At 37.7% G+C, this 26706-nt stretch overlaps 1 long non-coding RNA gene and 2 pseudogenes across 1 annotated transcript; all 3 read left to right on the top strand.

The window, feature by feature from the left end:
* Positions 1 to 854: 854 nt before the first annotated feature.
* On the top strand, positions 855 to 1708 carry WTAPP2 (WTAP pseudogene 2; annotated as a pseudogene).
* Positions 1709 to 2912: 1204 nt separating this feature from the next.
* Positions 2913 to 13271, top strand: LOC105375085 (uncharacterized). The gene is made up of 3 exons (XR_926868.1): positions 2913 to 3151; positions 7900 to 7965; positions 12905 to 13271. It is a non-coding gene; the product is annotated as an uncharacterized LOC105375085 (long non-coding RNA).
* TIAL1P1 (TIAL1 pseudogene) lies at positions 25766 to 26291 on the top strand (annotated as a pseudogene).

Genomic DNA, 26706 nt, shown 5'->3' with positions numbered 1-26706 from the left:
TTTTTTTTTCCTAAAAAGATCTTAATGTTGTGTGAGGTCAGGGGTTTTATTTTTCTCTGTTCTACATAATCCTGTCTTTATCCATGCTTATGGATGTGGAAAGAGCTACATTTATAGCTATCCTTATCTAAAGCTCACTGACTTGATGATTCAGAATAAGGTTAAAGAACACAGTTTTTGTTACCAGTTACTTAAGCAGTAAGTAATATACAGATACGAATTATAAACTATTACCAATCTAATATGTGATAGCAAATGACATAATCAGACTTTAGTTGCCTTGGTATGTTAAAAAGAAGAGATCTCACTCTGTGATGATCAATTAATCAATGAACTGTCCTGTGTTTTACAGTCACGATTATCTAATCTGGATAAAATATACACATTTGCAGAATCACGGTGACCTAAAAATGCAGTCACCAACTGCCTGCCGATAAAGATGAACATCATTTGGTTGATTAACAATAACAATAAAATACTTAAATGAAGATGCCTGAAACTGCAAGAAGAAAGAGGTGGGGAGGCATTAGCAGAATGCCCTGTGGAAGAGAATTCATGATCAGGTGTTCTTCATGGCTCTTATGAGAGATCATTGAGCTCAGCTCTGGGATATCTGGAGCTGGATGGCTGACTTATTCCTGAATTTAAGCCAAGAGTATGTGAAGAAACAATCTGCTTCTGGTTCACAAGAAAACCTCTGAAATTTAGGAAAAACCAAGGAGAAAAAAAAAAAAAAAAAAAAACAGAGAGTGAGGGATAAGTGATGTCTGAAGTGCCAAATTTGGCATCAGGAGAATGGTTGGAATAGATCGTGAACTCTTAGCAAAAGAGACCATTCTGGGCTTGCTGAGCTCCGGCGCCCGCGGAGCTCGCACCAGGCTCCCCGGAAAGGACGGGGCGTGTTACCGGGGAGCAGCTGCTCTATTGCGCCTCGAGGCTCCGATCGGGCTAGGCCGGCGGCCTCGCTCCCTCCCTTCACCTTTCCTCTCCTGGCGGGCCCGGCGGCGGGCAAGTGACTGCCCGCCATGCCTGAAAGGCGACTCTTCGATTCAAGATGACCAGAGAAGAACCTCTTCCCAAGAAAGTTCGACTGAGTGAAACAGACTTCAAAGTTATGGCAACAGATGAGTTAATTCTAAGATGGAAACAATATGAAGCATACGTACAAGCTTTGGAGGGCAAGTATACAGATCTTAAACTCTAATGATGTAACTGGCCTAAGAGAGTCTGAAGAAAAACTAAAGCAACAACAGCAAGAGTCTGCACGCAGGGAAAACATCCTTGTAATGCGACTAGCAACCAAGGAACAAGAGATGCAAGAGTGTACTACTCAAATCCAGTACCTCAAGCAAGTCCAGCAGCCGAGCGTTGCCCAACTGAGATCAACAATGGTAGACCCAGCGATCAACTTGTTTTTCCTAAAAATGAAAGGTGAACTGGAACAGACTAAAGACAAACTGGAACAAGCCCAAAATGAACTGAGTGCCTGGAAGTTTACGCCTGATAGGTAAACAAATCATCCTCCCCAGTTAAGACTTCCCTGACAGTCCCACTACGAGAAAGCTGTGGTGGGACAACCAAGTACTCGTTTCCACACCAAGACTCAGACTTTTTGAGCCAAAAAAAAAAAAAAAAAAAGCCACATTCTTACACTGTCCAGCTTGTAATGTTTAATGTAAAACTTACCAGATGAACCTTGTGTTTCAGCTTTTTTCTTTTCCCCTTCCCCTTGCTTCAGACGCCTGATGGCATCGGACTATTCCGAAGAAGTGGCCACCTCCGAAAAATTCCCCTTCTAGAACATGTAGACACTTGAGAAATGTTTCTGTTTGAAGAAAATAGAGGGAGAAACAGAAGTCTTAAGTCTGTGGCACACTGTGTCTTCAGACAGTTTGAAGGAATGAAAACCTAGAGATTTTAAATCATGAAGTGAAAATGTAAAATTCCAGTAAAATGTAAAAATGGAATATGCATCGCTCTTAACCTTGAGCATAGTGACTTAGAGACACTGTGTATCAGTTTTGCCAATAAGACTGTGGACTTCATGATTGTTGTACTTCTGGGTCAAAACTCAAATGAGGTGAATTTTGCCTTTAAAGGTTTTATTTGCTGAGAAACAACTTTTGATAGTCATGAGAGAATCAAATAATAGATGTCCGTACAAGTAGCACATATATTTAACCATTTAGTTTGGGGCTCTGTATTACTTGCTTGAGCCTTAATCAATGTGGTTTTATTCAATGGTTTGTTCTTTGAATGGCTGCAAAAACTGTAGATAAACTTACTGAGGACTGTACAGACATGAAGGTGTGGTATCAAACTTCAGGTTGAAACTGTTTGAAGCATTATAAACATTCATTTCACAACTAGATTGTATAAGGATATTAGCTGTGATGAGACTCACTGCATTTTTTTTTAGTGAATTTTATGAAATCCCCATTCCATTCAACAGGCACATGTTTGAAAGAGCATTGTCGTTGGTGTTAATGGGGGAATGTGTTCCTTCATTGTATTTGGGCCTTTTGTATTGCACTCTTGATATTAAATTAAATGTGCCTTGAAATAGTTGGGTTTTTTTTTCTAAGTTCAAAGAATATTATGATGATTTTGTTGTACTATTTAACATTTTAATTTGGGGCTGGGAGGGCCTGTGGAGAGCAGATTCATTTTGGAAATACTGTTGCTGTGCTCTTCAAAGTGAAGGAAAAGGCGCTGTGCCTCATTTTTAAAAGACCTACATAAAAGACAAGGAGACTTGACACTTGTTACTTTTATGACACTTTGTCCCTGGGTATTGCAGTAGAAAGTAATGTGGGACAGCTTCACAGAGTGCCTGCCAGAAGATAATGTGTTGGAACAGTGGGCTGGCCTAAGTAAGACATTTTATGAATTGAAAAAAGATATACTGATCATTTCTAGCAAATTCATTTAACCATTTAGATAAATGAGGCATTATTTTCTTCATGCTTCCATCCAATCCTGGAGGTGAATTTTTTCTGTCTGATCATTCTATAAGTCACCAATTCAAATTTTCGCTTGGTGATAATGGAGTCTAAGATGAGTGGAAGATAAATGTTCCAGCTTGTCGCAACATTTAAGTGCAGTTTTAACAAGGGTGACTTAAGTTCTCTCTCAATCATTCAAATCAATTGTAAGTATCATATGTTTGTGCTTTAGGGAACTGATTGTGGGGCAGAGGGTAGGTTGAAGAAGTGGTTTGTATGACTTTTCAGCAAGAAATCTGCATCTAAAATTCTCACTATTTGTGAGGGTTGGAGGGTAAGTAACCAGATCTGTTTGAAATTAGCTTATGTGCTTGCATTAAGGCTTTTGTAAATATTTTATGCCATTTAAGTTCACAGTAGAAATGGCCTAAGTATCTTTTTAGTAGATTTTAGTAGAAAAGTAATCCATAAAATGTATTATTAACATGTACTCAAATTTAGCAGGCATCTTTCTTTGCCACTTAGATGGCAGTCATGAGTTCTGTGGTTTTTTTCTTGTCATTGTTAAAATTTTCTCTTTTAATAAGATAATACATGCTTGTGTATAAAATTGAAATACTGTTGAGAAAGGGGGAGATGAAAAGTGAGTGTCACTCTTGGATCTGACCTTGACATCCTCATTCTGTTCTCCAGGAGCAGTAACTGCTATTACTTTTTCTTGGGTATCATGAAGATAATTTCTATGCATATACAGTCATTTTATGTATATTGTTTTAAACAAATGTGATCATACCATAAACACAGATGAGTTGCACCTTGTTTTTTTTAACTTGGTCTCTTTGGCGTTTTTCCATTTTTTAGTGTATCTAGACACCTACATTTTTAATGGTTACATAATGTATTTGCATTATATTAAGGAATCATGATTTATTTGAATCACTTATAAATGGATTTTTTTCCGTAAAATTGGCTGTAAGCCAGAGTATATCAGGTACTATAAATACATCACTAATTTGAAACAAATAATGGCTCAGGCAATCCCCTGTCTGGAATATTTCCAGTAGTGGAATGGGTTTTGCTTTGGGTTGCGTGCATGCGCGCGTGTGTTTGTGTGTCTTCACTTTACTGTTTTTCTGTTTTAATTTTGAGGAAGAAAGATTCCCGGAAATAACCTGTCCAGTTCAGTTAAAATATTTCATTTATGTGAGACTGTACACATTTTAGAGTGTTTAGAGGTATATCTTTCAAAGTGCTTTCTATTATGTTTGTGGGTGATTTTAGGAATGGGTTGATTTTTTTGTTTGTAATTTTAAAAAATTATTCAAAAACAATTACTTGTAATTAAATTATTTTAAAAAAAGAGACCATTCTGATCAACTACCACTGCATTATAAACCACCCCAAATTTAAAACAATTATTTGTTAACATCTCCCATATTTCATAAATTGATGAGCTCACCTGAGAAGTTCTTGCTTGGGGACTTTTGTAAAATTGTAGTCAGATGTTGGCTGGGACTACAGTCATCTCAAGTCTTGACTGGACTTGATGTTTATCCAGTCCAGCCACTGTTGGCAGCTGATGCTGGCTGTCAGCGGGGACCTCAGCTGGAGCTTTCCACTGAGGTGCCCTAAACATGACCCCTCCTTGTAGCTTAGGTTTTATATTGTGAGTTAGCTGGGATTTTAGGGGGAGAGTTCCAAAAAGGAGCTTCCAAAGAGATCCAGTGAAAAATGTAAGAAATTCTATGATCTAGCCTCTGAAAATCAGACCATCACTTCTGCCACATTATATTGGTCAAGCAAGTCACTAAATCCAGCTTAGATTCAAAGAAAGGGAAACGGGGCTCTATCCCTTGACATTAGGAGCAACACGTGTACATAGAAAGGAAAGGAAGTGATAGTAGTCATCTTTGTAGAGTCACATAGAGGCATTGTTTCTGTCTTGAACACATGAAACATAGTCTGCAGATCCTTCGTGATGGATGTGGATTCTATGCACATGATGTGACCACAAATATTGGAACAAAGCAAAGGGAGCATTCAAATAAGATCATATGCACCCTCCAATGAAAACTAATCAATATTTCCATTATACTGAGAATAAAGTTCAAATTTCTTACCATGGCCTGCAAAGCCCTTTATGATTTGCTCCATTCCAACTTCTCTGACTTCTTGTCCTCCCACTCTTTCCCTTGCTTACTTTGCTTTAGTCAGGCTACCTTTCTCGCTTTGCTTGCAATTGTCAATTATGCTATCTCCTTTTGGAAAACTCTGCTCCCAGATCTTCCAACATCTAATTTCTGCACTTTATCCAAGTTTCTGTGCAAAAAGTCTCTTCAGAAACGGCATCCCTTAAGCACTCTCTTCGGCGATCACTCACCTTGTGCCACTTGTCCTCATGTCTTCATGATCTGAGACTCTCTTGTTCATCTCTCTGTTTAGTTTTAGTGTCAGTTCCCCTTACCAGCCCATAAGCCCCACTGGAGCAGGGATCCGACTCATCTTGCTCACTTCCATTCTTGCAGGACCAGGAACTGTATTGGTACATAGTGATACCCAGTCCATATCATTGAATTGACGACTATGCCTGAGCTTTATTTTCAGTTGGTTATCGTTAGAAATGTCCTAAATATCCTTTAAAAATTATGTGAGCCCTATGTGTAATTCATTCAGCATTCACTTCTACCTGTGATTACCCAACACCTTTCAAAATTATTTTTTCCTATTTATTTTCTGGATCCCATATTTTTTTTCCCCTGCTCATAATTTGGTGTTTGTTACCTTAAAGTCTACGTTATAATCTCACTAGACTACTTACATTTCCTTTGGAAACCTGGATTCTCTCTCTACTTTATACCTTTCTGGAATGCTGTTTCCTCCTTTATTCCTCCAGCTAAGTACCTTTTATCCCTGAACACTTGTTTCATGTATCTATTCATTTGGAAAGACTTGCCCTAACAGCCATCTTCACTTTCCATTTCCGAATCCTTTTTGGATTCACTTTTTTGTTGTAAACTATGGTACAGTGAGGCAAGTGCAGCTCCTCTCCTCCACCTTTGAGTTCTTTGGCAACATGGGCATCATCTTATTTGTTTCTAGAGCTCTTGTACCAAGTCTAGTGCTTGGCACACAGCATATACTCCATTAATGCTTCTGGAACTGGATAGAATTAAATTGAAACAAAGGAAAGGAGGAAAACAACAGGGAACTGGACAGTGGTAGATAATGTCAAGAGACCAAGAAAATGTTGGCTTCGTCTTCCTTTTATACACACTAATTTATTTTTACTCTGGTCCAATTATATGTGCTTTGTTAGAAATGTCACCATTGTTCAATATGTTAAGAAAATAAATTAAAACTTCAGAGTTATTTAGAAGGCAGGCATGAAATCAAGCATTTTCTACACTCCTGTTTTGTCATACTGTATACTCCTCCTGTTCATTTGCATTTTCATGCTCAGTCTATTGGGTGCAGGTGCAGAAAGCAGGCACCAGGGTATTCTATAGAATTCAATGTTATCTCTGATAAATGAGGCTTTCTAGCTATGTATTTTTATAATTGTAAATTTCCCTCCTTTTCATATCTACTTAGGTGCATCTACATTTATGAAATTATATCATTTGTGTGTAGTTTGGGGGGTATCTTTCACAGGCATATAGAAATTGGATGTGATAGCTATCTCAATACATGAAACTAAGTTATTGGCAATAATTTTTTTTTACTTTAAAGGGAACATATTGATACCACATTGCAAGAAATTAAATATATAAAGGAAATACTTTCCAAAACATTGCTAATGTGAGCTCTTTTTTTTTTTTTAAGAAAAAGCTGAAAATAAAAGCAGTCTTCCAGGAAGCTAATTAAGCCTTATTTTGTTCATTGCATACAGTGAGCATTTAGAATTGCACCTAAACAATCTTCAGTTAAGCACAGTCATTTAACCCTCTTTAACTGTCCTGGTGTGTGGCCCCTTTGAAATGCCCCATAATCAAAGTTTTCCAGGTGGGAAAGACAGCACAAATAAAAAGTGACAGACTTAGCTCTTGTACAAAGCTTGCAACACTTGCAAGGATTATCAGCTATTTCACAATATAGATTGATGAACAATTGTATGATAAGTTTTTCTGCAGTCTGAAAAATTTGGATCAGTTGATGGTGGGGGATGGTGGATGATTTAAGTTAATGGAAAGAAAAACAGACCTAATTAATAGTAGAAATTATGATTTTGTGGTAGCTTGGAAAACAAGGAATTGTGCTTTCTGGTCCAAGATTTTCTATGAAGTGAAAGTGGCTACTTAAGAAATACACTTCAGTTCTTTGCGTGTATATTTCTTCATTGAAAAGATGGAACCAGTGTCAAGTTTTTAAATACTACAGTGGAATAAGTTTTAATGTGTACTATAGACTACAGACTAAATCTTGCACTAAGCCTTTCACTTTCAGAAAGAGTACAGATACTCCTCCTTCAAATGCCCACCACTTTCATCAGTGCACGTCTATTAGAAGCCAAGACAGATGTACCACATTTAACTGCTCCTCAGCTGTATGGCTTACTCTGTAATCTAATGCCAGCTCCCATAAAATTCAAGCTGTAGCAAGTAACCTTGCAAAATATATCTGAGCAGTTTTGTCTCTTTGAGTTTATGAAAAACAACAGAAAAGTCAGTAGAACATATCCAGGTTTGGTATAGACTATCAAATCACTCCTTTTGGATAATGACAGGCTCCTGGTCATCATTTGTGGAAGCCAGTTCTTGCATCAGATGGACAAAAAGGGCTTCTAATAGATTTTTCATGTTTAAATTTTATATACATTTACACCAGTGAGAAATATTTTCTTATTTCCTAAACTCCGAAACATTTCATCTATGTTTCAATTTTGTCATTTATCACATCTTGCCTGATTTTTTAAGTATTCATATGTCTTTCCTTATTTTTCCTACTTGATTGAAAGCTCCCAGAGGACAAGGTCGTCGTCTAATTCAGCTTCTTATTTACCCAGGAAATGAGAGGATGCAAGGTGAGGACTCCATATTTATTTAATAAATACATAAATGGATAGATAACTTTGATAGACTACATGGTATGAATTCATTTTTGAATGTAGTAAACAACAATATAATCAGCTAAGATCTAAAGTTATATGGAGAAAATCATCTAATTTCAGTCACCTGAATTTGTGACCAGAGGTCACAAATTCTAAAATATACAAGAAACCAGAACATGGGCATTTAGTATTTTAACATGCTCATTTAAAAGGAACTCAGAAATTATTTGATAGAGATGCCAGATATTGCCAGTTGTCATACTACATTGAGAAGAATGTTCAGACCAAATCTGTGCTCAGCAACAAAGAATAGTAAAATGTTGATGAGTAGAGGCATACCTTTGAAATATCCAATCAGATTCAGATACTTTATTTTGAAAATCATGAGATGGAGACCACAGAGGCTGGGTCAGCTTTCTAAAGTCACATAGTAGTAACCAGTTGTTATCAAGATTCCAATCAAGAGCTTAGTTCTCAAGACCCTAGAAGGGCCCTAGTGGGGAGAAGTCTAATGAAAATGATCCTGCTGAAATAAGCAAAAATCCTCATCCAACTCGGAAGTAACCAAGCCTCCCAACTTGAGCCCCCAACCTGACCCAAGGTTCTATCACTGTCATTGTCCATGGTTATCAAAGTTACAGGGGATGGAGGGTGACAAAAGTACTGGAGTGAAAGAGCAGGATCTACCCTAACAAGCTTGAGCTTCCAACTCCAGTGAAGACTGCATTGAAAGGCACAGGAGTCAACAGAAGAGAACGTCAGTGGCACCTCCAGACACCAGTATGTCTCCATGGGACATTCTTCTTGGTGCTGCTTTAGCACAGACCCAATTCCCAAATTCAATATATTTTGCTGCTCTAGCTCTAACTTCTACTCATAGGCCTAGTTGCTCATGAACAAAACAAAACTTATTTATATGTTCTATATGGACAATTTCACACATACCGAAAGTATGGAGAATAGCATGATACAATCTCTTGTACCCATCCTCCGGTAAGACTTTTCTCAATGCTTGTATTCATCGTATCTGTGTCTCCCCAGCCCATTTCATCATTTTGTCATGTATGACTAATCCGCCAGCCTTAGCCTAGACTAACAAGCAACTCAGATTCTGATCAGATTCAGGCACTTTATTTTTAAAATAATAAGATGGATATTACAGAAGCAGAGCTTTCTAAAGTCACATAGCAGTAGCGAGTTGTTATCAAGGTTCCAATCAAGAGCTCAGTACTCAAGACTCAAGAAGGGTCCTAGTGGGGAGGAGTCTAATGAAAAAGATCCTGCTGAAATAAGAACTTTGTCTGATTTATCATAACCTTCCCAAGACTTGAATCTTGCCTCAACCCCAGCCCAACAGGCTATCACTTCTAAATTTGTCCATTTACTCATTTTCCTCTTTCATTCATCAAAGTTTAATTTAGCATTTATTAGGTACTCAGGTACTGTGCTTATTGTTAGAGATACAGTAGTTGATAGCTGTCAGCTGCCAGCCTGACAGCTGGAGATAATGTGTGATCTAATAGAGGTATGCTCTAAGTACTACAAGGTCTTTAGAAGGAGACTGTGGGCCTTTTCCACTATGGCTAAGAGTAGGAAATAGTTACAAAGGCAGAACTAAATCCTAAATCCTATTGCACTTCTATAACATCAGTTATCTACTGGGAAGGTATTGCATTTCTATAACATCAGTTATATACTGATGTTACTACATGATAGCTTTTGATGAGATATATGTTTTTTATTAGCATAATATGCAATTGAGCCTGTATTTCAGATGAAATAATTTGTATGCCATTTGTGTGGCACTGCACATGAATGTACAACTCCCTCCAAAATCGGTTAGGTAATATGTCCTGACTAAAATGGAAATGAGGAGTAGTGCTAGGAAATGAAGATGTCACATTACTTTTAAGTAGTGACAATGATATTGCAGAGAAAACCATATGGTGAACCATTGAGAGATGTGAGTTCTATTATTGCCACAGCCTGTAATTAGGTGGTGACATTGGGCCAGTACTTACTATTCTCTGGCTCTCAGCTTTTCCATTGTAAAATATACAAGTTGTATGTAATAATCCCTAAGATTTCCAATATGTTATATAACTATACTTTTCTCCAGCTTGATCTTAAAGGAGAGTAGATGGCTGCCATCATGTTATAGCTAAGATTGCCTGTGTGGTGCAATTACTCCACTAGGCTCCACTTTCTGGGAGCTGACACTAGAACACATATACCTTCCATAAAGCATGGCCATGTAATTCCTCATAAATATGTCATGCACTGTGACAGTCAAAATGCTGTTTCATGCATCATCTCTTTCCACTTACAAAGGTTGCTGGATCAGGTATCAGTGTTCTCCCACTTTAAGAAGAGAAAAATTGAGACTACAACAGCCACCCAATATCGTTTGAAAGGCAATTGTCTTTTCACTACTTTTCAGATGCCCACATACAAATTACCTTTCTGACATACAGTAGATACTTCCACCACCTTTACTTTCTTTATTCTGTTTTAAACTTCTTGTTAGATTTGATGTTAGAACAGGGTTAGTCAGAGGTATAGATATGTATAGATGCATTTTATGCTATAGTGAAGGTACAGTCTGAAACAATTAAGTATAAATAGTTTAAATAGTTTTTAAATCAAATTTTAAATATTCTTAGGGTATATTCAACGGAGACAACTTTTATACAGTAAATAATTGCACCTCATGGCACTCTTGCCCCAATGGTTCGTTCTGGAAACTTAAATTTTCCACTATAATGTGTGCTAAAATAGAAGCATAACTGCATTGCAATGTGGCCCATATGGACTTCCCGATGAGACCATCTCCTCTTCAGTAACGTCTTGCTGAATTTGGGGGTTCAGAACCTAAAGCCACCTTGCTTTGTTCAACACATTCTCTCTGCTGTTGCACCTATTTGGAGGCCCCATACTTCTTGGCTGCTGTGCTGTTCTTACATAATTTTAAGTCAATTAAAATTATTAGTGCAGTTTTAATAGCCAGTGCTCCCTCAGGCTAGGTAACAAATGGTGCAATTTGAAGAAAATTGAATAAATAAAATAAGAAAGAGACAAATAAAATAATAGTCTAGGAAAGGAATGAGAAAAATATAGTCTGTTAGCAAAGCTATCTATATTAAAATACTAATACTAATACTAATAGGTGTTACTTGAAAAACTAGCCAGGACATGAGCCAGGCGCGGTGGCTCACGCCTGTAATCCCAGCACTTTGGGAGGCCGAGGCGGGCGGATCACGAGGTCAGAAGATCGAGACCATCTTGTCTGACACGGCGAAACCCCATCTCTACTAAAAATCCCAAAAATTAGCTGGGCATGGTGGCAGGCGCCTGTAGTCCCAGCTACTTGGGAGGCTGAGGCAGGAGAATGGCATGAACCTGGGAGGTGGAGCTTGCAGTGAGCTGAGATCGTGCCACTGCACTCCAGCCTGGGCGACAGAGCGAGACTGTCTCGAAAAACAAAAACAAAAAACAAAAAACAAAAAAACAAAAAAGAAAAAGAAAAACTAGCGAGGACACAAGATAGAACCAGACTTAAAAATACACAAAAGTGGTTATGGCTGATAATGCTTTGATTTTGAAGACACTGAGCAACCCACAGAGCCTCAACCCATCTCCACCAGCCTCGCTGGCATTTGAGAGGATGTGACTGATTTCTTTGTTCCACACTAAATGTGCCCCTTGGAAGGGGCAATTCATTATACTTTATTTTAAACTCATACCATTGTGGGTAGGATGTTTTCATTTATAAGTTTACCACTTTCATTTTATTTCTAAATAGGCAGTCATACCAAACTATTTGTAAGGTCTTAAGGGGCCATACTGTGATCTCTGCTTTCAGAAAGGAGTCAGCAGGAATATTAAGAAATATACAATTTTACGACACAAAAGTAGGAAAGAAAAAAAGCAATACCTTAAGGTATTAAATTTATGCATATTTATACAGATAAGAGGTTTTCCCAAATGCCACCTGAGCCACTTGCTGGCTTTTGGACCTTAAACAAGTTGCTCAGCTTCTATGAGCATCAAGCTCTTCATCTGAAAAACAGGGTTAATAGAAGAACCTATTTCAGAAAGTTGTTGGGATGATTAAACAATATCATATTTGCAAAGTATTTAACATAGAGTCTGACATATAATGAACACAAAGTAAAGGTCAGTCATTATTGGTTATTTTACTCAAAAATGGGGAGAATTCAGATAATTAAAAAAAGTACAGAGGATAAGGCTGGAATTCCTGGAGGTAACATCAGCAATTTTCAATTTTTGCTAAGGTCTAGGTTACCTTAGCACTTTGCTATTTATAAGTCACAACAGACAGCATTTGATGAGAGCTTTCTTTATGGTTGGCATTGTTCTGCATTCTTTCTGTAAGTTTCCTCACATAATCCTTCCAGTGACCTCTGAATTAGATGCTATTATTGCATAACCATTTCACAGATAAGGAAACTGAGACATGGAACAAGTAAATAACTTGCCCAAGATAATAGACCTGCACAGGCAACGAATGGTAAACCCGAGATTCAAACTCTAGACACAGTCTGGGCGTAGGTACCATGCCCTCTGCCGGGGCACTATGTCACTGCTATTGTCAGCTGAAGCTCAAATGGCTGGTAGAGACATCAAATCCTGCTCAAGTTGCTGCATGTAGTCCTGCATTTGTGCAAAGTGTGTGTGGACCTCAGTGGGGGGCTTGTAGGGCTGTGTCCACTGAGACAGGCGACTCTTCCTAATCCACTGGCTCAAAGAAGACAGAGTTTTCAAATTCTCACAAGGACCATGCCTGGGCCAGAGTAGCCCCGGGGTCTCAGCTGTCCCTTCTTCACCTACTCTTCCAATGAAATCAGGCTCAGCAGCTTCCTCTACAGGCAGCCTTCTGTCCTCCATGCAGGTGTGCCTGGGAAAAGACTAATCATATGAAAACACTGGCCATGAGAATGGATGCCCTGGTCTCACTTGATCAAAGAAGAGAAAGCTGTTAATGTACTGGAGCACTCTTGCTGCGGAAATGAGTCACACCATAGAGCCTGGCTGCTGTGGCATCATACGGAAACTGTAGCAAAACTCAAGGGCCGCTCTGGAGTGAAGGAGAGCTTGGCTGATGGCCAGGAAAAGGTGAGGAGGGTGCCAGACCCCTAATAAAAGAGGCTTCACAGTCAAGCCTCTTGCTATAACTGTCTCTCCCACTTTCTCTTTTTAAAACTATTTTTCCTATTGTAAATAATACCATTAAATGAAGACTATTGTCTCTCCTTATGCACAAGAGACCCATTCAGAGCCATTAGCAGTAATGAAAGGGAAAAGCACACACAATCAAAAGGATGAGGGGAAGCAGGAGGTGGAAGAGGGTTGCGGTTGGGCTGAGTAAGGAAGGGCCCTGTGTGTCAAGCTGGCCTGGCCTCTTGGAAAATCCCATGTGGAACCTCTCCCATGGATAATACTGGTTACAAGGAAAAGGGGAGGCATAAAAAGAGAAGAGAAATGGAGCGAGCTGTGCTTGTGGCTTCTAATACTTTTGGGAGTTGGAAAAATAGGTAGGATGCTGATCCATGCAAACAGAAGAGTGGATCTGGTAACCAAAAGAACATAGCTTACATAGCCTTCAATCGGATTTAACTCCAATTAATCTTAGTTTTCCTGGGCAGCATTAGAATGAGTTTCTCTGACATTATGCAAGGTAGACATTTAATAAGATGGAAAGTCAGCTGCTTTTTTAAAAAAGACACTTTTTTTAAGGCTAGTGAGAAAATTAAAAGTTCTTTTAGAAATAGGAAATAGATTGTTGACAATGCTATAGATTTTTTTTTTGTTTTTTTTTTTTATAATCAGGCATCAAGACCAGATTAGCCAACCACAAAATTTTTCTCTTTAATTCTTAAAACACAGGTGATACATTTCTTTTGCAGGACAGTAAAGAATGACAGAGACAATAGGGTGTATTTGTTAAAAGAGAAGGCTGTGCGACAAGACTATATGGATCTGAATCATGTGTATTATTTCCTAATATGTAACCATGGGCAAGTTACTCAATCTCTCTGGACCCCAAATTCTCATCTGTAACTTGGAGAAATAGAAAATACTACAGAAAGTTGTTGTCTGGATTAAATGGTTTAGTATCAGTGAAGCACTTGAAAGAATACTTGGCACATTATAAATGCTCCACAAATATTTGCTGTTATTGTTAATCAATGACAAATAGAAGTCCAGCACCTCCCCATACATTTTCACATAAGAGTAGATAACATATGCAATGGTTCTTACTGTGAGTTTACTCTCTTTGATGTATGAAATGTGACTACTTAAGATTTTGTTCAGAACAAAATGCAAATCACACTTGTATCTTCTCTGTGACTTTGAAGCATTTAAATGTAGCTCATCACCCAGGTTGGATACAGGAATGCCAGCAATGAAATCCCTATTTACTCCTTGTTGTTTAGAGAGTGTTATAAGGATGCATGGAATCAGGGTGGTCATCTCAAACCCTATATTTGGGAAGTTTTGGTAGTTTGGGCAATGACCTTGTGAGCGAGGGCAAATGAGTCCTAAGAAAAGGTCTTTGAATCATGCTCATACTGTCATTTTCTGTTGCCCCCAAAATCACCAAGCAAAGCTAAAAGACTGTTCCTTCTTGATACCCCTGAGAAAATGTATTATGCTTTGGTGACATTTTCCCTTGAAAGCTATCTCTTCATATATTTTAATACAATTTTCCTGTGTACAGAGTTTCACTAGGCCATATGTGAACCACATTAGTAATGAGATTGAGTACAAAAGGATGTTAATTATTAAGGCTGCTTTCACTATGACATCTATATATATCACTGTGGCATTATCCTCATTGCATAAGTGGTCTTATGGGTGGCAAGACTAACATGTTGACCTCTCCTAGAGTTTTAGACTATCCTGAGTAGACCAAATGTACCAAATGTTTGAGACCTATTTACATTATTACATGTATGATATGACAGCTAAGAATACTCAGTATATGGAAACATTGTAAAGTTGCTTTAAATATGAACAGAATAGAATTATTAATCTCAAATTAAATTGTATGCTGTTGTTCATTCAGATCCATTAATTGGAGGTTGAAGATCTGGATAAAAGCAATATTTAGTTCATTTCCCATAACAGTGGCTCTCAAGGAGAGAGGTCTAGTCCCTGAGTGTGCTTTGGAAATTTACAGGGACAATTTTGGTTGTCCCAATAGTTGGATGTGCTGTTGGAATTTAGTGGGTGAGATCCGGGGATGCTAATGTCCTGCAGTGTTTGAGCAGTCTGACACAATAAAGAATTGTCCTACATCACTCATGACTGTTTTGTATATCACAGTCCATTCATGTATGCAAATATATGGGGTGATTAGCATTATATCCCTACTTCAGTTAGGATTACTTCTCTCTTGCTCTCATATTATGCAAATAAATTTGGCCTGTTATTATGTAACCTAATGCTAGTTTTTAGTCTAGTATTTGCTTATACCTCAGTTCTTTAATTTTCCTCTTTGGCTTGACTGCAATGACTTACGACCTTTTTATAACTCTTAATCCAAAGATAGTCATTGTAAGTGGGTAAAGAAAAAAATCTAATTAATCACCATGACTTCTAGTGTAGTCATGCCTAAGATTTTCCAAATTGGAATGCATATTATGTTATTATAATTGCTTTCTATTTCTTCTTTATTAAAGGGCATTTTATTAAATATTTAAATTGCATGTGAAATCATTTTATATTTATGAATTTCAATTTGGAAGAGAAAGGAGAGCATATTTATAATATATTATACATGTACACATATTTTTTAAATTGTTATTTGTGTGTGTTTTATGTATGTGTTCTGAAGTTATAAATAGTTATGAAGATTATGTCTTCTGTTATATAGAGATATGCACATATATATCTTATGGTTTAGGTACATATGTTATATAGATATATATTTTGTATGCTATCAATATTATTTATGTGATATATGTTATATACTTACCAACTCACATAAATGTGCAATGTATATTTATATATGTGCATACTGTGCACACATGACTTATAATACATATATACGTATTGCATGCATATATGCTACATGCAACATATGCTATAAACATTTTGCATGTGTGCATATATTTGCATCACATATGTGTACATGTATACATGTGCTGCATAGATATGTGATATGTCACATAGATTTTAAAAACACATGTATCTTATACATCTATATGTTATATGGTATGTACTGTCATGTTACATGTTTGTATATATTTATGTGTTATCTATTAGATAATAGAAAAGACACATTTATAACATATATTTTTATAATAAGGGGATGCTTCATGAAGATAAAGTGACCACAGAGGACTTGCTGTGATGTTTGTTTAGTCTGATATCTCTCCTCAAATGGGAAGTTATGGGTTTATAACTTTTAGCATTCAAATTGTATTCTTAAGGTATATTTCAAGTGAGACTCAACAAGTCTAGGAATACTTAAGAAAGAAAGGCAGGAGGTATATGAATGAGGTAACTGATACTTATTCACTGATTCATCTACACTAACATGACCAAAGCTTTGGTGGAAACTAGAACATTATAGCCAGTTTGCTTATATCCTTTTCCTTTCTCATTTCTAGGTCTGTGGCAGAGGCACAGACCTGTGACTCTCATTTGCATTTCATATTTGCATATAACTCAATTTCCTATATCCAGCTAAGGGTAATGTCAGAAATACCCATATACATTTATCCAAATACACTGGAAGTGGAAAAGGCCAAGAAGCGCTCTTGGGAGCTCCAGCTTATACAGACTCACTCCCAGTCTCCTTACAAATTCTCTCAGGTGACAGACACCATGTGACTCCTCCACCTCCGTATCTTGGCATGTGAGATATCACTGTATAATCGTGTACAAGAAACTGAGGATTGATAACTAAGTATGATTCAGATATCAGGCCATCTAGTAGACCAGTAATTCTCTTCCATGTAGTCAGCCTCAAGGTTGGCATTAAATTGTCCTCCCAAGCTTCATCTGGTAAAGTTGGAAAATGGGATTTCTTAGCAGATCTCCAAGGCTGATGAAGTCTTTGACTGAGTCTAGTTGTAGCCTATTTAAGGCTGTAAGATACATTCAGGCCAAGATCCATTCCTTTGTGTTGGCTTTTAGCCTTAACTAAGTTGGAGATTTTGCTTTCTAAATCTACAGGAAGGACTTGTAAGATATATTTCTAGCCCCCATTTGCCTGGATTCTCAAGGATAACCTTGCCTAAAGGTAATCATAGCAAGGACCCTGAGGACAAAGACACATTATTAAGAGCTACTGAAGCCAGATTAACCATTAACCTGGAATGGCCAAATGTTTAGAAGATGTCAAACCTTTAGGAAATCACCTACATATATGCTGCAAAGCAATCAAAGAGGTAACTAAGAGCTCACTGGGCAGAGATACAGTAAGAAGTAGCAATAAGTTCTTTGATAGCTTCCTGAGAGCCTAAAATTGTATCCTTATAGCATATCATGACCACTTTAACAGCCTACCACTGACATACATAGTCTCAAGTGTTTCACTACTCTTCATTGGTCTTAACACATTTCAAGGACTACTTTGACCCGTTGGAAGTGGCTACCTGGGACATTGGACTGAGAAGGATTAGAAGCCTGGACCCAGACTCAGCTGTTGTAGGAGTTTATGTGTATGGGTATGTGTCTGTGTGTGTGTTGAAAGAGTGTGTAGTGTATGAACCATTTGAAATATTCACATCAATGGGATGGAAGAGGATGGATACACCAAATTTAAGTTTCTTTCCATTCAATACATTCTTCAAAATTAGACCCTGGTGAACAACCATTGAATATTATTGGGCCTTCTTTTCTTTTCCCTTTACTCAGAGAGAGGATAAAAATAAACAAAAAGGAAATACAGTCAACCTTCTGTCACGTATCTTGCTATCTGAATGGACTCTGACTCTCAGTTGCCTACAGCTCTCCTGGTTAACACAAAATCATGGAAAACTCTTTCTCTGCCAGTGGTGGATACACCCAGGAGACCCACATGCAAAGACAGGGAACTGATACTTTATATGGTAAGAGCATGAGCTCAGGTTAAAGGAAGAATTCAGGTGGGCTTTCAAGAACATATTTCTTCCTTATGCTCCACATTTTATAGAAATTATCTGTTAAAATGTATATTTCTGCTTAAGAGAGAACAGAAACAGAGACTATGCCTTATTTAACTTTGTATCTAAATACTTCATGTACTAAGTGGCACTCAGTAGGCACTCAATAAACAATTCTTGAATGAGTGAATGTACAAGTAGATGACTGAATGTCACTCAGTTTCCATTTCTTCATCAGTGAAATGAAGATAGTAACACGTGCCTCTGGGTTTATACAAGTGTTTTTTAAAATAATATATGCAAAGTGTCCAATTCATAGGACGTGCTCAATAAATATTAATACCCACTCATTGTCCTATTCAACTCAGGATCTAGTTGAAACCAGGAAAATTATCATACCTGGCCAGCGAAATAGTATGTGTAAAGTATTCACGCAGAGTGATTTCCCATCTATGACTGTCATTACTTCTATGCAGATTTCAACTGAGGAGTATTCGCCTAGCTCCATTACTGTCTGGCATGATTTTATGTCCTTAAGGTCCCGTCCCTTCTCTCTGAATCTGGGGCATATAGGCTTTTAGTATGGTCATTGGTGTCAGAATAAGTCCCTATAGAGCTTTTTTTTGGCCCATTTGTTTATAAATATTTGTTTGCCTCTGGATAGTCTCATCTTCTTCAAGTTGTGCCTACCTCCTCCAACATGATGCTCTGTTTGCCATTTGCACAAAACATCTTATGTTTGTCAATCGAGATGTATTTCCCACTCTCATTCATCCTGTCTTGCACTTAAGGACTATGTCGATGGGCTCCCTTGCTGTCCTCTGCTGGTTGGAAGCAGCCAATGGGGTGGAGGATAATTGATATGGCACTGGCAAAAGCTTGAAGGAGGATGGAGGAAAGTAGTCTTTGTCCATTTATTTCCCAAATTATCTCCCTGCACAGTCATTCCCGTTTGACAACTCCCATATACCAAAAAGCCATCACGTTTGTCAGGCAGCCCTCTCTATACAGATATCTAACCAGGTTCTGGTAACTGCTTGTTCCAAGTGCCCATTCAGTTAAGGGTTAGTAATGGCTCTGGTGCTGTCACTAGCCCTGTGGTGCTGCCCCATCCCTGTGGTTTCTCTACCCTTCCCCTTACCTTTATAAATTGTCTTTATTGAATCATCCTTGATTATTCAGCCTGTGTGTGACACCTGCTTTTTTCTCAATCCTAATAATACAGTATCCATGCTTCTGATCTTCTAACTCTCTTTTTGACAATATCCTTTTTCTGAAATATTTTATGGTATAATGAGTATGGTAGAAAGAATAACAGCCCTTAAAGATGTCTATGCCCTGGAACCTGTGAACATATAACTTTACATGGCACAGAAACTTTGTAGATCTAATTAAGAATAGAGACCTTGAGATGAGGAGGTATCCAGGGTTATCTGGGTCAGTCCAATACGATTACATGAATCCTTAACAGCAGAGATTATTTCCTAGCTATGTTCAGAGGAAGATGTCACTCCAGAAGTAAGGTCAGAGATATGCATATTGCTGGCTTTGAAAATGAAGGAAAGAGTCTATAAGCCAGAGAATGTGGGTGGCCCCTAGAAGATGGAAAAGTCAAGAGAATGGATCCTTTTCTAGAAGTTCTAGAAACAAATGCAGCTATGCTGACACCTTAATTTTTTTTTTTTTTTTTTTTTTTTTGAGACGGAGTCTCGCTCTGTCGCCCAGGCTGGAGTGCAGTGGCGCGATCTCGGCTCACTGCAAGCTCCGCCTCCCGGGTTCACGCCATTCTCCTGCCTCAGCCTCCCGAGTAGCTGGGACTACAGGCGCCCGCTACCACGCCCGGCTAATTTTTTGTATTTTTAGTAGAGACGGGGTTTCACCGTGTTAGCCAGGATGGTCTCGATCTCCTGACCTCGTGATCCGCCCGCCTCGGCCTCCCAAAGTGCTGGGATTACAGGCGTGAGCCACCGCGCCCGGCCGACACCTTAATTTTAGCCTAGTGACAACAATGTTGAACTTCTGACCTACAGAACTGTAACATAATCTATTGGTGTTGTTTTGAGATACTAAGTTTGTGGTAATTATTATGACAACAATAGGAACTTAATACCACAAGAAAAATCCTGTTTTGAGATCCAGTCCAAAGATTTTCTACTCACTCAGAATAATGATGATTTGACCATACAAGTAGCTGAAAAATACTAAATGCAACTAATGAAAGAACCAGAACAAGACCAATATATGGCAACAAAATTTGAGAGACATTGGAAGTTCCTCATCAAAAATTATTTCCCCTAATGTGTATGAAGCATCACTATTATATAATTACTTTTCATAAAGATAATATTTTCTAACAAGGCAAATGTCTCTGAGAAAGGTAGTACATTATCACTTATCAGATAATAGCACCATAGAGGTTAATGAGTGTATAAATATAAATTATTATTAAAAAGATTTATTAAAAGAGTAGTTAAGAGCCAGTCAGTGCCACATTGTTTAATAGGCTTGATTCAACCTTATTCATCAAAAATATTTATTATGATATATTCAGCAACATGTTGAATGGGGGGACATTATAGAATTAAAATAAAACACAGACTTCTCTCCAGATTGTCTCACTGTAGCTGAGCAATGGTCATGTGTGTCTGTAGGAAGGAGAAAAAAGAAAGTGGGAAAGAGTAGGGGAAGAAGCTGAGGTAGGTAGAAGACTCAGTACTATTCAAGCCCATGTAGAAGGGAAAATAAGAGTAAGAGTGCAGCTCTACTCCCATGGAATGGACCCCCTGATTATGGCTCCATGGGGGTCAGAAGACAATAGATACAGAATATTCAGCTTTGAGAGTAGCAAGACGAATGGGCTTTAAAGAACAGAGTAGCAACAAATTTGGAGGCCAATCTTAAGATCTTTCATGGGTTTAAAACATGCTTCCAAACAATAATTCTGAACAACACCAAGTTTTCATTTTTAAGTTTTCATTTTTGTTTTCTAAGTCTGCAAATAGGATTCAGAATGCTGATTTTCTCATAGCACTTGGTCAAGTTTTCATGGGTGAGTGATGGATGGATGCTTGCATGGAAAGATTTATCATGATACTCCTCATTAATATTAATCACTGGCTTAGATAAGTAAAGACAGTGTCTCTAAAAGCTCACTTTAAGTTTTCAAACCTCAGCATGAAATAGCTAACTTTACTAACCTCTTGCTTTGATTTTACAGAGAACAATAATTCACTGGGCTTGCACAGACATTGCCATAAGGCTGATAAGTTAATGATGGACTCAGAAGTCTGGGAAAAACTTCAAGAGATCACCTAGCTCTTTCTTTATACAAAGTTGGAGCTAATAGGCAATTATATATCTTTAAGAATGTAAATAATCATTATATTGTAACAGAATATTTCTCTCTTGATATTAACATGGTTTGAATTTACTAGAGGATTGGTATACTTTTGAAAGCCAGCAAATTTGAGAAGTAAATCTCATCTAGTGAAGCCAGAGAAAAAAAAAAAGTGAAGAAAAAAATAGAAACCGAAATGGATAGGATGGGCAAAGTTGTCACAAGCCTCCAAATACTTAATTTCTTTCACTAATTTTCAGAGCCTCAAACCTTTATATTAACGCATGGAATTGAATATCTTCTCATTGTGTTATTGGGGAGCACACACTTCTTTTCATTGAACTTCATACTTTATTAATTATTCTGGTGTGGTGTTATTATAAACTGTTGGTGATTATCTGACTCTTCTGGGCATGTGATTGATGCCAGAATGTCAGTTTTACATTAAATGGCTGTCGTTTGTGAAAACTTAATGCCAATACAGAAATAAAGTATGTGTTTAATTAAGGCTTTAATCTTCCCTGAGTTCATTTTTTAGAAAGGAGGGTGGAGCCCTGGATGCCAATGGGGTTAATAATATTTTCCTACAATGACTCTTATTCCTATAAGTATTAGTAAACATCAGTTTGTGTTAGCAATTAACTATAATGGCTTGATATTATTTTACCTCTCTTGATTGTATGTTCCAGTCCAGATACTTATAAACTGTGCCACCTATGTTTTTTTTTGCCAAATTAAAAATAAAATGAAAATAACTGCCCACTTAGCAGACAGCTTCAAGAAAATAACCAAGTAGACACATAGCGATGGAGTGGAGGAGACATGGGAGCAGATGAAGGTGTATCTGAGGAGCTGGGAAGAGAAGGAAGAGAATTTAAAAGAGAGAAATAAAAACAAAAGCAACAAAAAAAGACCTGCCAAAGCCAGGGAGCTGGAAAAAAATGGAGAAAGCCACACAGTGTTGAACTAAGGCCAGGATCTGCTAACTCCATGCCCCAACTGTGCAAAGGTATCTCCAGTCTCCCAGTGACTGACAGCCATAGCAGAGTGGTTGGGGTATGCCAAAGCTTGCAGCTGGTTCTTCATATGGAGCGGGTGAAGGTAAAAGGAAATGTCAGAAAATTAAGCCTAACACTAGAGGGTATTTTCTTTTACAGGTTTCCAGGGAAAGCTTTGTTTCCATTTAACAGGCTCCGTTAGTAATGAAAATGTACTCAGCATTTCCACTTTGGCCTTCCACAGCTCAGTCATGGGAAGGTTTCCTTTTCTTTCTTTCATCCCTCACCTGGATATAATACTACCTAAGTAAAGAGTCGCATGGCTCTGGAAGCATAGGAAGCACATCATTGCTGTTGCTGCAGATCCATTTCCCCTCCTGTTTGTAGAAGGTGAAAGATAGTGGGAGAAAAATGGATGGACCCTACTGACTTTGAAGGGCTGATTGTGGCTAAGTTCAGAAAAACAAACAAGCTGCTTCGCCATTTGTGAGAATAACCAGCAGATCAAAAAAAAAAAAAAAAAAAAAAGGTGTCTTTTCCAAAATAGGTCAAATGTTGAAACAGTATTAAAAAATTAATTTTTCCATTTTTTTTGTTTCATCCATGGCCCTGGAATGCTTGCTGACATAGCCCCACTTAGGTTTCAGTTTCTGGAGAGTGCCCTTGAGTTCTAATGATAACTGTAATGATATTTTGTGGGTTCCCCACTGCTTAAACAAAGACAGAATTTATAATGTGCCTCAGAGCATCAAAAATGGATGTTGGAAAACATTAATATTACTATTTTTATCACTATTTAGTGAGCAGCGCTGGAAGATATTAATATTACCATGATCATTATTATGGTGAGATAACGAAAAAGTGGAACTCCATGTGGCAAAGAGATTGTTGAGGGAGAAAAAAATGGATGAGCCTATTTTTCTTTCAGTTCTTTAAATCAGACTTAACTGGAAAAATAATCGCAGTGGCTAACAGAGTCAGGAGTCAGGGTAATTAAGTGGGTAAATGAGGCCGGTGTCATTTGAATTTATGCATTTTCCTTCATCCCTTTGTTTGCTCTGCCTTTCTCTTTCACTGGGTCTCCACTGCAATGTTGTTTATTCATGGAGGGCATGCCACAGTTTTTAATACTGGGGGGAAAATCTGAAACCCTTCATCCGACTGGCCAATGTGTAGACTGGAGAGAACACAGGGGGATCAAAGTGATATGAAGACAACAGGGGTTTCATTAAAATGTTCCGTTCTCTGCCTGAGGACAGAGCAGTGAGAAAAGGGTGGAAAAAAAAAATCATCTAGCCCAAACAAGTTTAACTTAAAAAAAAAGCAACGAACCACCTGTGGTCTCCTTGGAAACAGGCAAGCACACCCTCCAGCCACCTTTTAATGAAACCCCAGAGCCCCTTTATTAATTTATTAAAGAATCTATTTTCTGAAGATTCATAAACCTCATATAACTCATATTCCAACACATCTCTGCTATGCTAATGGCATGCACTTCTATGAATAATTAATTATTTAATTAGTAATAATTAGAGGTTGTTGTATAGGTCAGACCATTGGACTGACAGCATGCTATTATCAAAATGTCACTTGAATTAATGGAACAGCATTTAAACAGAGAGTGATTCATCGTTTAGGGTGGTTACCTACCTACCCACTCCCTCCCTCACTCCCAAATATGTTTCACAGCATATGCCACTGTAAGATTTGCATAACATGTAAAATGGATCATTTAATATTGAGTGTTCTACAGAAAGAGTATAGCCTTTAATACTTCATTAGACACATAGGACAGGTTGAGTTAAGTAACTGAATTCAAGACATTCAGACAGGACAGAAATAGTACATGAGCGCATACAATTTACATGTAATTTCTAAGACCACATTTATGTCATTGGACATAAGTGCTCATAAAGAATAAATATACTCAAAATGGATAATTGCCCAAATATATTTGTTGGGCAGCTCTGGTGAAATAATCTTTAAGGATGATTATTCAGAAACAATCTAGTATTATAATGTCACAACTCTGTGCTGAGCCAGGCCTTTAGGCTGGCTTTCTCATTCAGTCTCTCCTCCAACCCTGCCCAGAAAGATACTCAGTCTTGATAGGCAGATAAGGGAACTGAGAATGTATCTTCCTTAGCCGGGGGGACAAGCTTTGCTGTTTCTGGCAGTGACACTCTAACCATGTTAATTAAACTGGATTTTTCCATTTCCTTATTTGTCACAGGGAACCAATGAGAGTAGCTCCCTTGTAGGTGTAAGAAATCAATGAGTTCATTGGTATAAACAGCTTAGCAAAACACCTGACTCATTGACGAGTTGTCAATGAGTGATAGTTCTTGTTACTTCATATTTTAAAATATCACTTTTATGTACACCGAACAATATAAGTCTCACCAGGTAAACACTTATGTCCTCATTATTCAAATCAGATAACTAACTCAGGCACAATATCTCTTATCCTGTAAGCCAGGGATCATAAACTTTCTGTAATAGCCAGATAGTAACTACTTTCATCTTTGCAGCCCACATGGTCTCTGGTGTAAAAACAGCCACAGACAGTATGTAAACAACTGGTTATGATTATGTTCCACTAAAACTTTATTTACAAAAGCAGGCAGTGGACAGGATTTGACTTTTGAACTGTAGATTTCCAAGCTCTGGTCTAAGCCATGTTGGCAGCAGGTAGAACATAGTAGTTGTTCAGTAAATAATAGTTGGATTAATGAAACTATGAATGAATGAATGAATGAATACGTCCAAGATAAGACCCCTGGTCTTAATTATAGTGTTGTAATTGGCTTAGATAGTATCCCTTTAATTAAATTTACAGTACCTAAAACAGAATAGGATACACTTTTTAGTTTTATATGCAAAAGGCAAATTTACCTGTGGGTATGCATCTATAGATACCCTTTAACGGAATCCTAGAATGAAAACATTTAACACATACTTTTTAAAATCAGGCTTTTTTTAAAAAAAAAAAAGTCTAAATGTAGATTATTTGAAATACATACAGCATCAGCACTGGGTTTTGCTTAGAGCTGATTGGTGGTAGAAAATAGAGGAATCTGACTTCTATCTTAAAAGAGCATAATTTATTTTGTTCATCCTTCTTCTTATCCTTCTGGTTGTAACAAAATATCCAGAGTGGGCTAGAGGGAGAGAGCTTAGACTCAATGTTGTGTCTCTTTTTCTCTGATCCCAGCTGGAGCCCAAAACACCCCTTGCCTACTTTCCCTCCTCCTGTCCTTCATGGTCTAGCCCTTCTTCATGGTTTCTTCATAGCCTGCAATGTGAATAGGTAGAGTGGGACTCATTACGTAGGAAAAGTAGAAGATGTGATTGAAGCCCTTATACTTCAATTATTCAGCAAAATAGGATCCTATGAGAGCTTTAAAATAAAAACAAAGCATACAAGCAATGGTTCCTAATATTTTATGAAATTTTATAAGCACAAACATGCAGCTGTTACATTAGCTGCTATAAGTGGGAGAAAACTTCTGATAAAAAGAGGTCAAAGAAAATGACAATAGCATCAAGGAGTTAGGAAAAAAGATACTATCAGTCTTTTCCGTGTGTTTTTTAAAAATTTGAGTCAAGAAATTACAATAAAATATATCAAATCATCCTTTGCCCCTATTAATATGAAATATTATATGGCTGGGTTAATAAAGATTTGGCAACTGGAAAATCCAGTAGCTATCATTTTGTATTTTTTATGAATAATTGGATGCTGAAAATGCAATTGTACCTATGGAAGATCAATGATGAAGTAATTGTCAGATCAGAGCTAACTGGGCTGTACAAAAACCATGTGTGACTAAAAGTACATAAAAATACAGCCCAAAGCCTTTGAAACTTGAAGATCACAAATGTATCAGCTTAAAAAACCACATATATTATTTTACAGTTTCTGTGGTTTAGGAGTCTGGGCATAGCTTTGCTATATCCTTTCTTTAGGCTTACAAGGCTGCAATCAGAGTGTTAGCTGGGGCTGAGTTCTCATCAGAGGTTTGACTGGAGAAGAATTCACTTTCAAGCTTCCTCAGCATGCTGCCAGAATCCATTTTCTTACATTTTGAGATTAATTAATTTGTTATCTTGCTTCTTCAAAGCCAGCAATGAGGAGAGACGGATTCTTCAGCAAATCTGCTACCAAGAAAGAGTCATCTGCTAGTAAGACAACATAGTCATGGGAGTGACATTTCATCCCATTTGTCATATCCTGTAGATTAGAAGTACATCATGAGTC

Source organism: Homo sapiens, chromosome 6 (genome assembly GCF_000001405.40).
Source record: "Homo sapiens chromosome 6, GRCh38.p14 Primary Assembly".
In the NCBI taxonomy this organism is placed as follows: domain Eukaryota; kingdom Metazoa; phylum Chordata; class Mammalia; order Primates; family Hominidae; genus Homo; species Homo sapiens.
The sequence above is the reverse complement of the archived record's forward strand: the minus strand, read 5'-3'. Positions and strand labels throughout refer to the sequence as shown.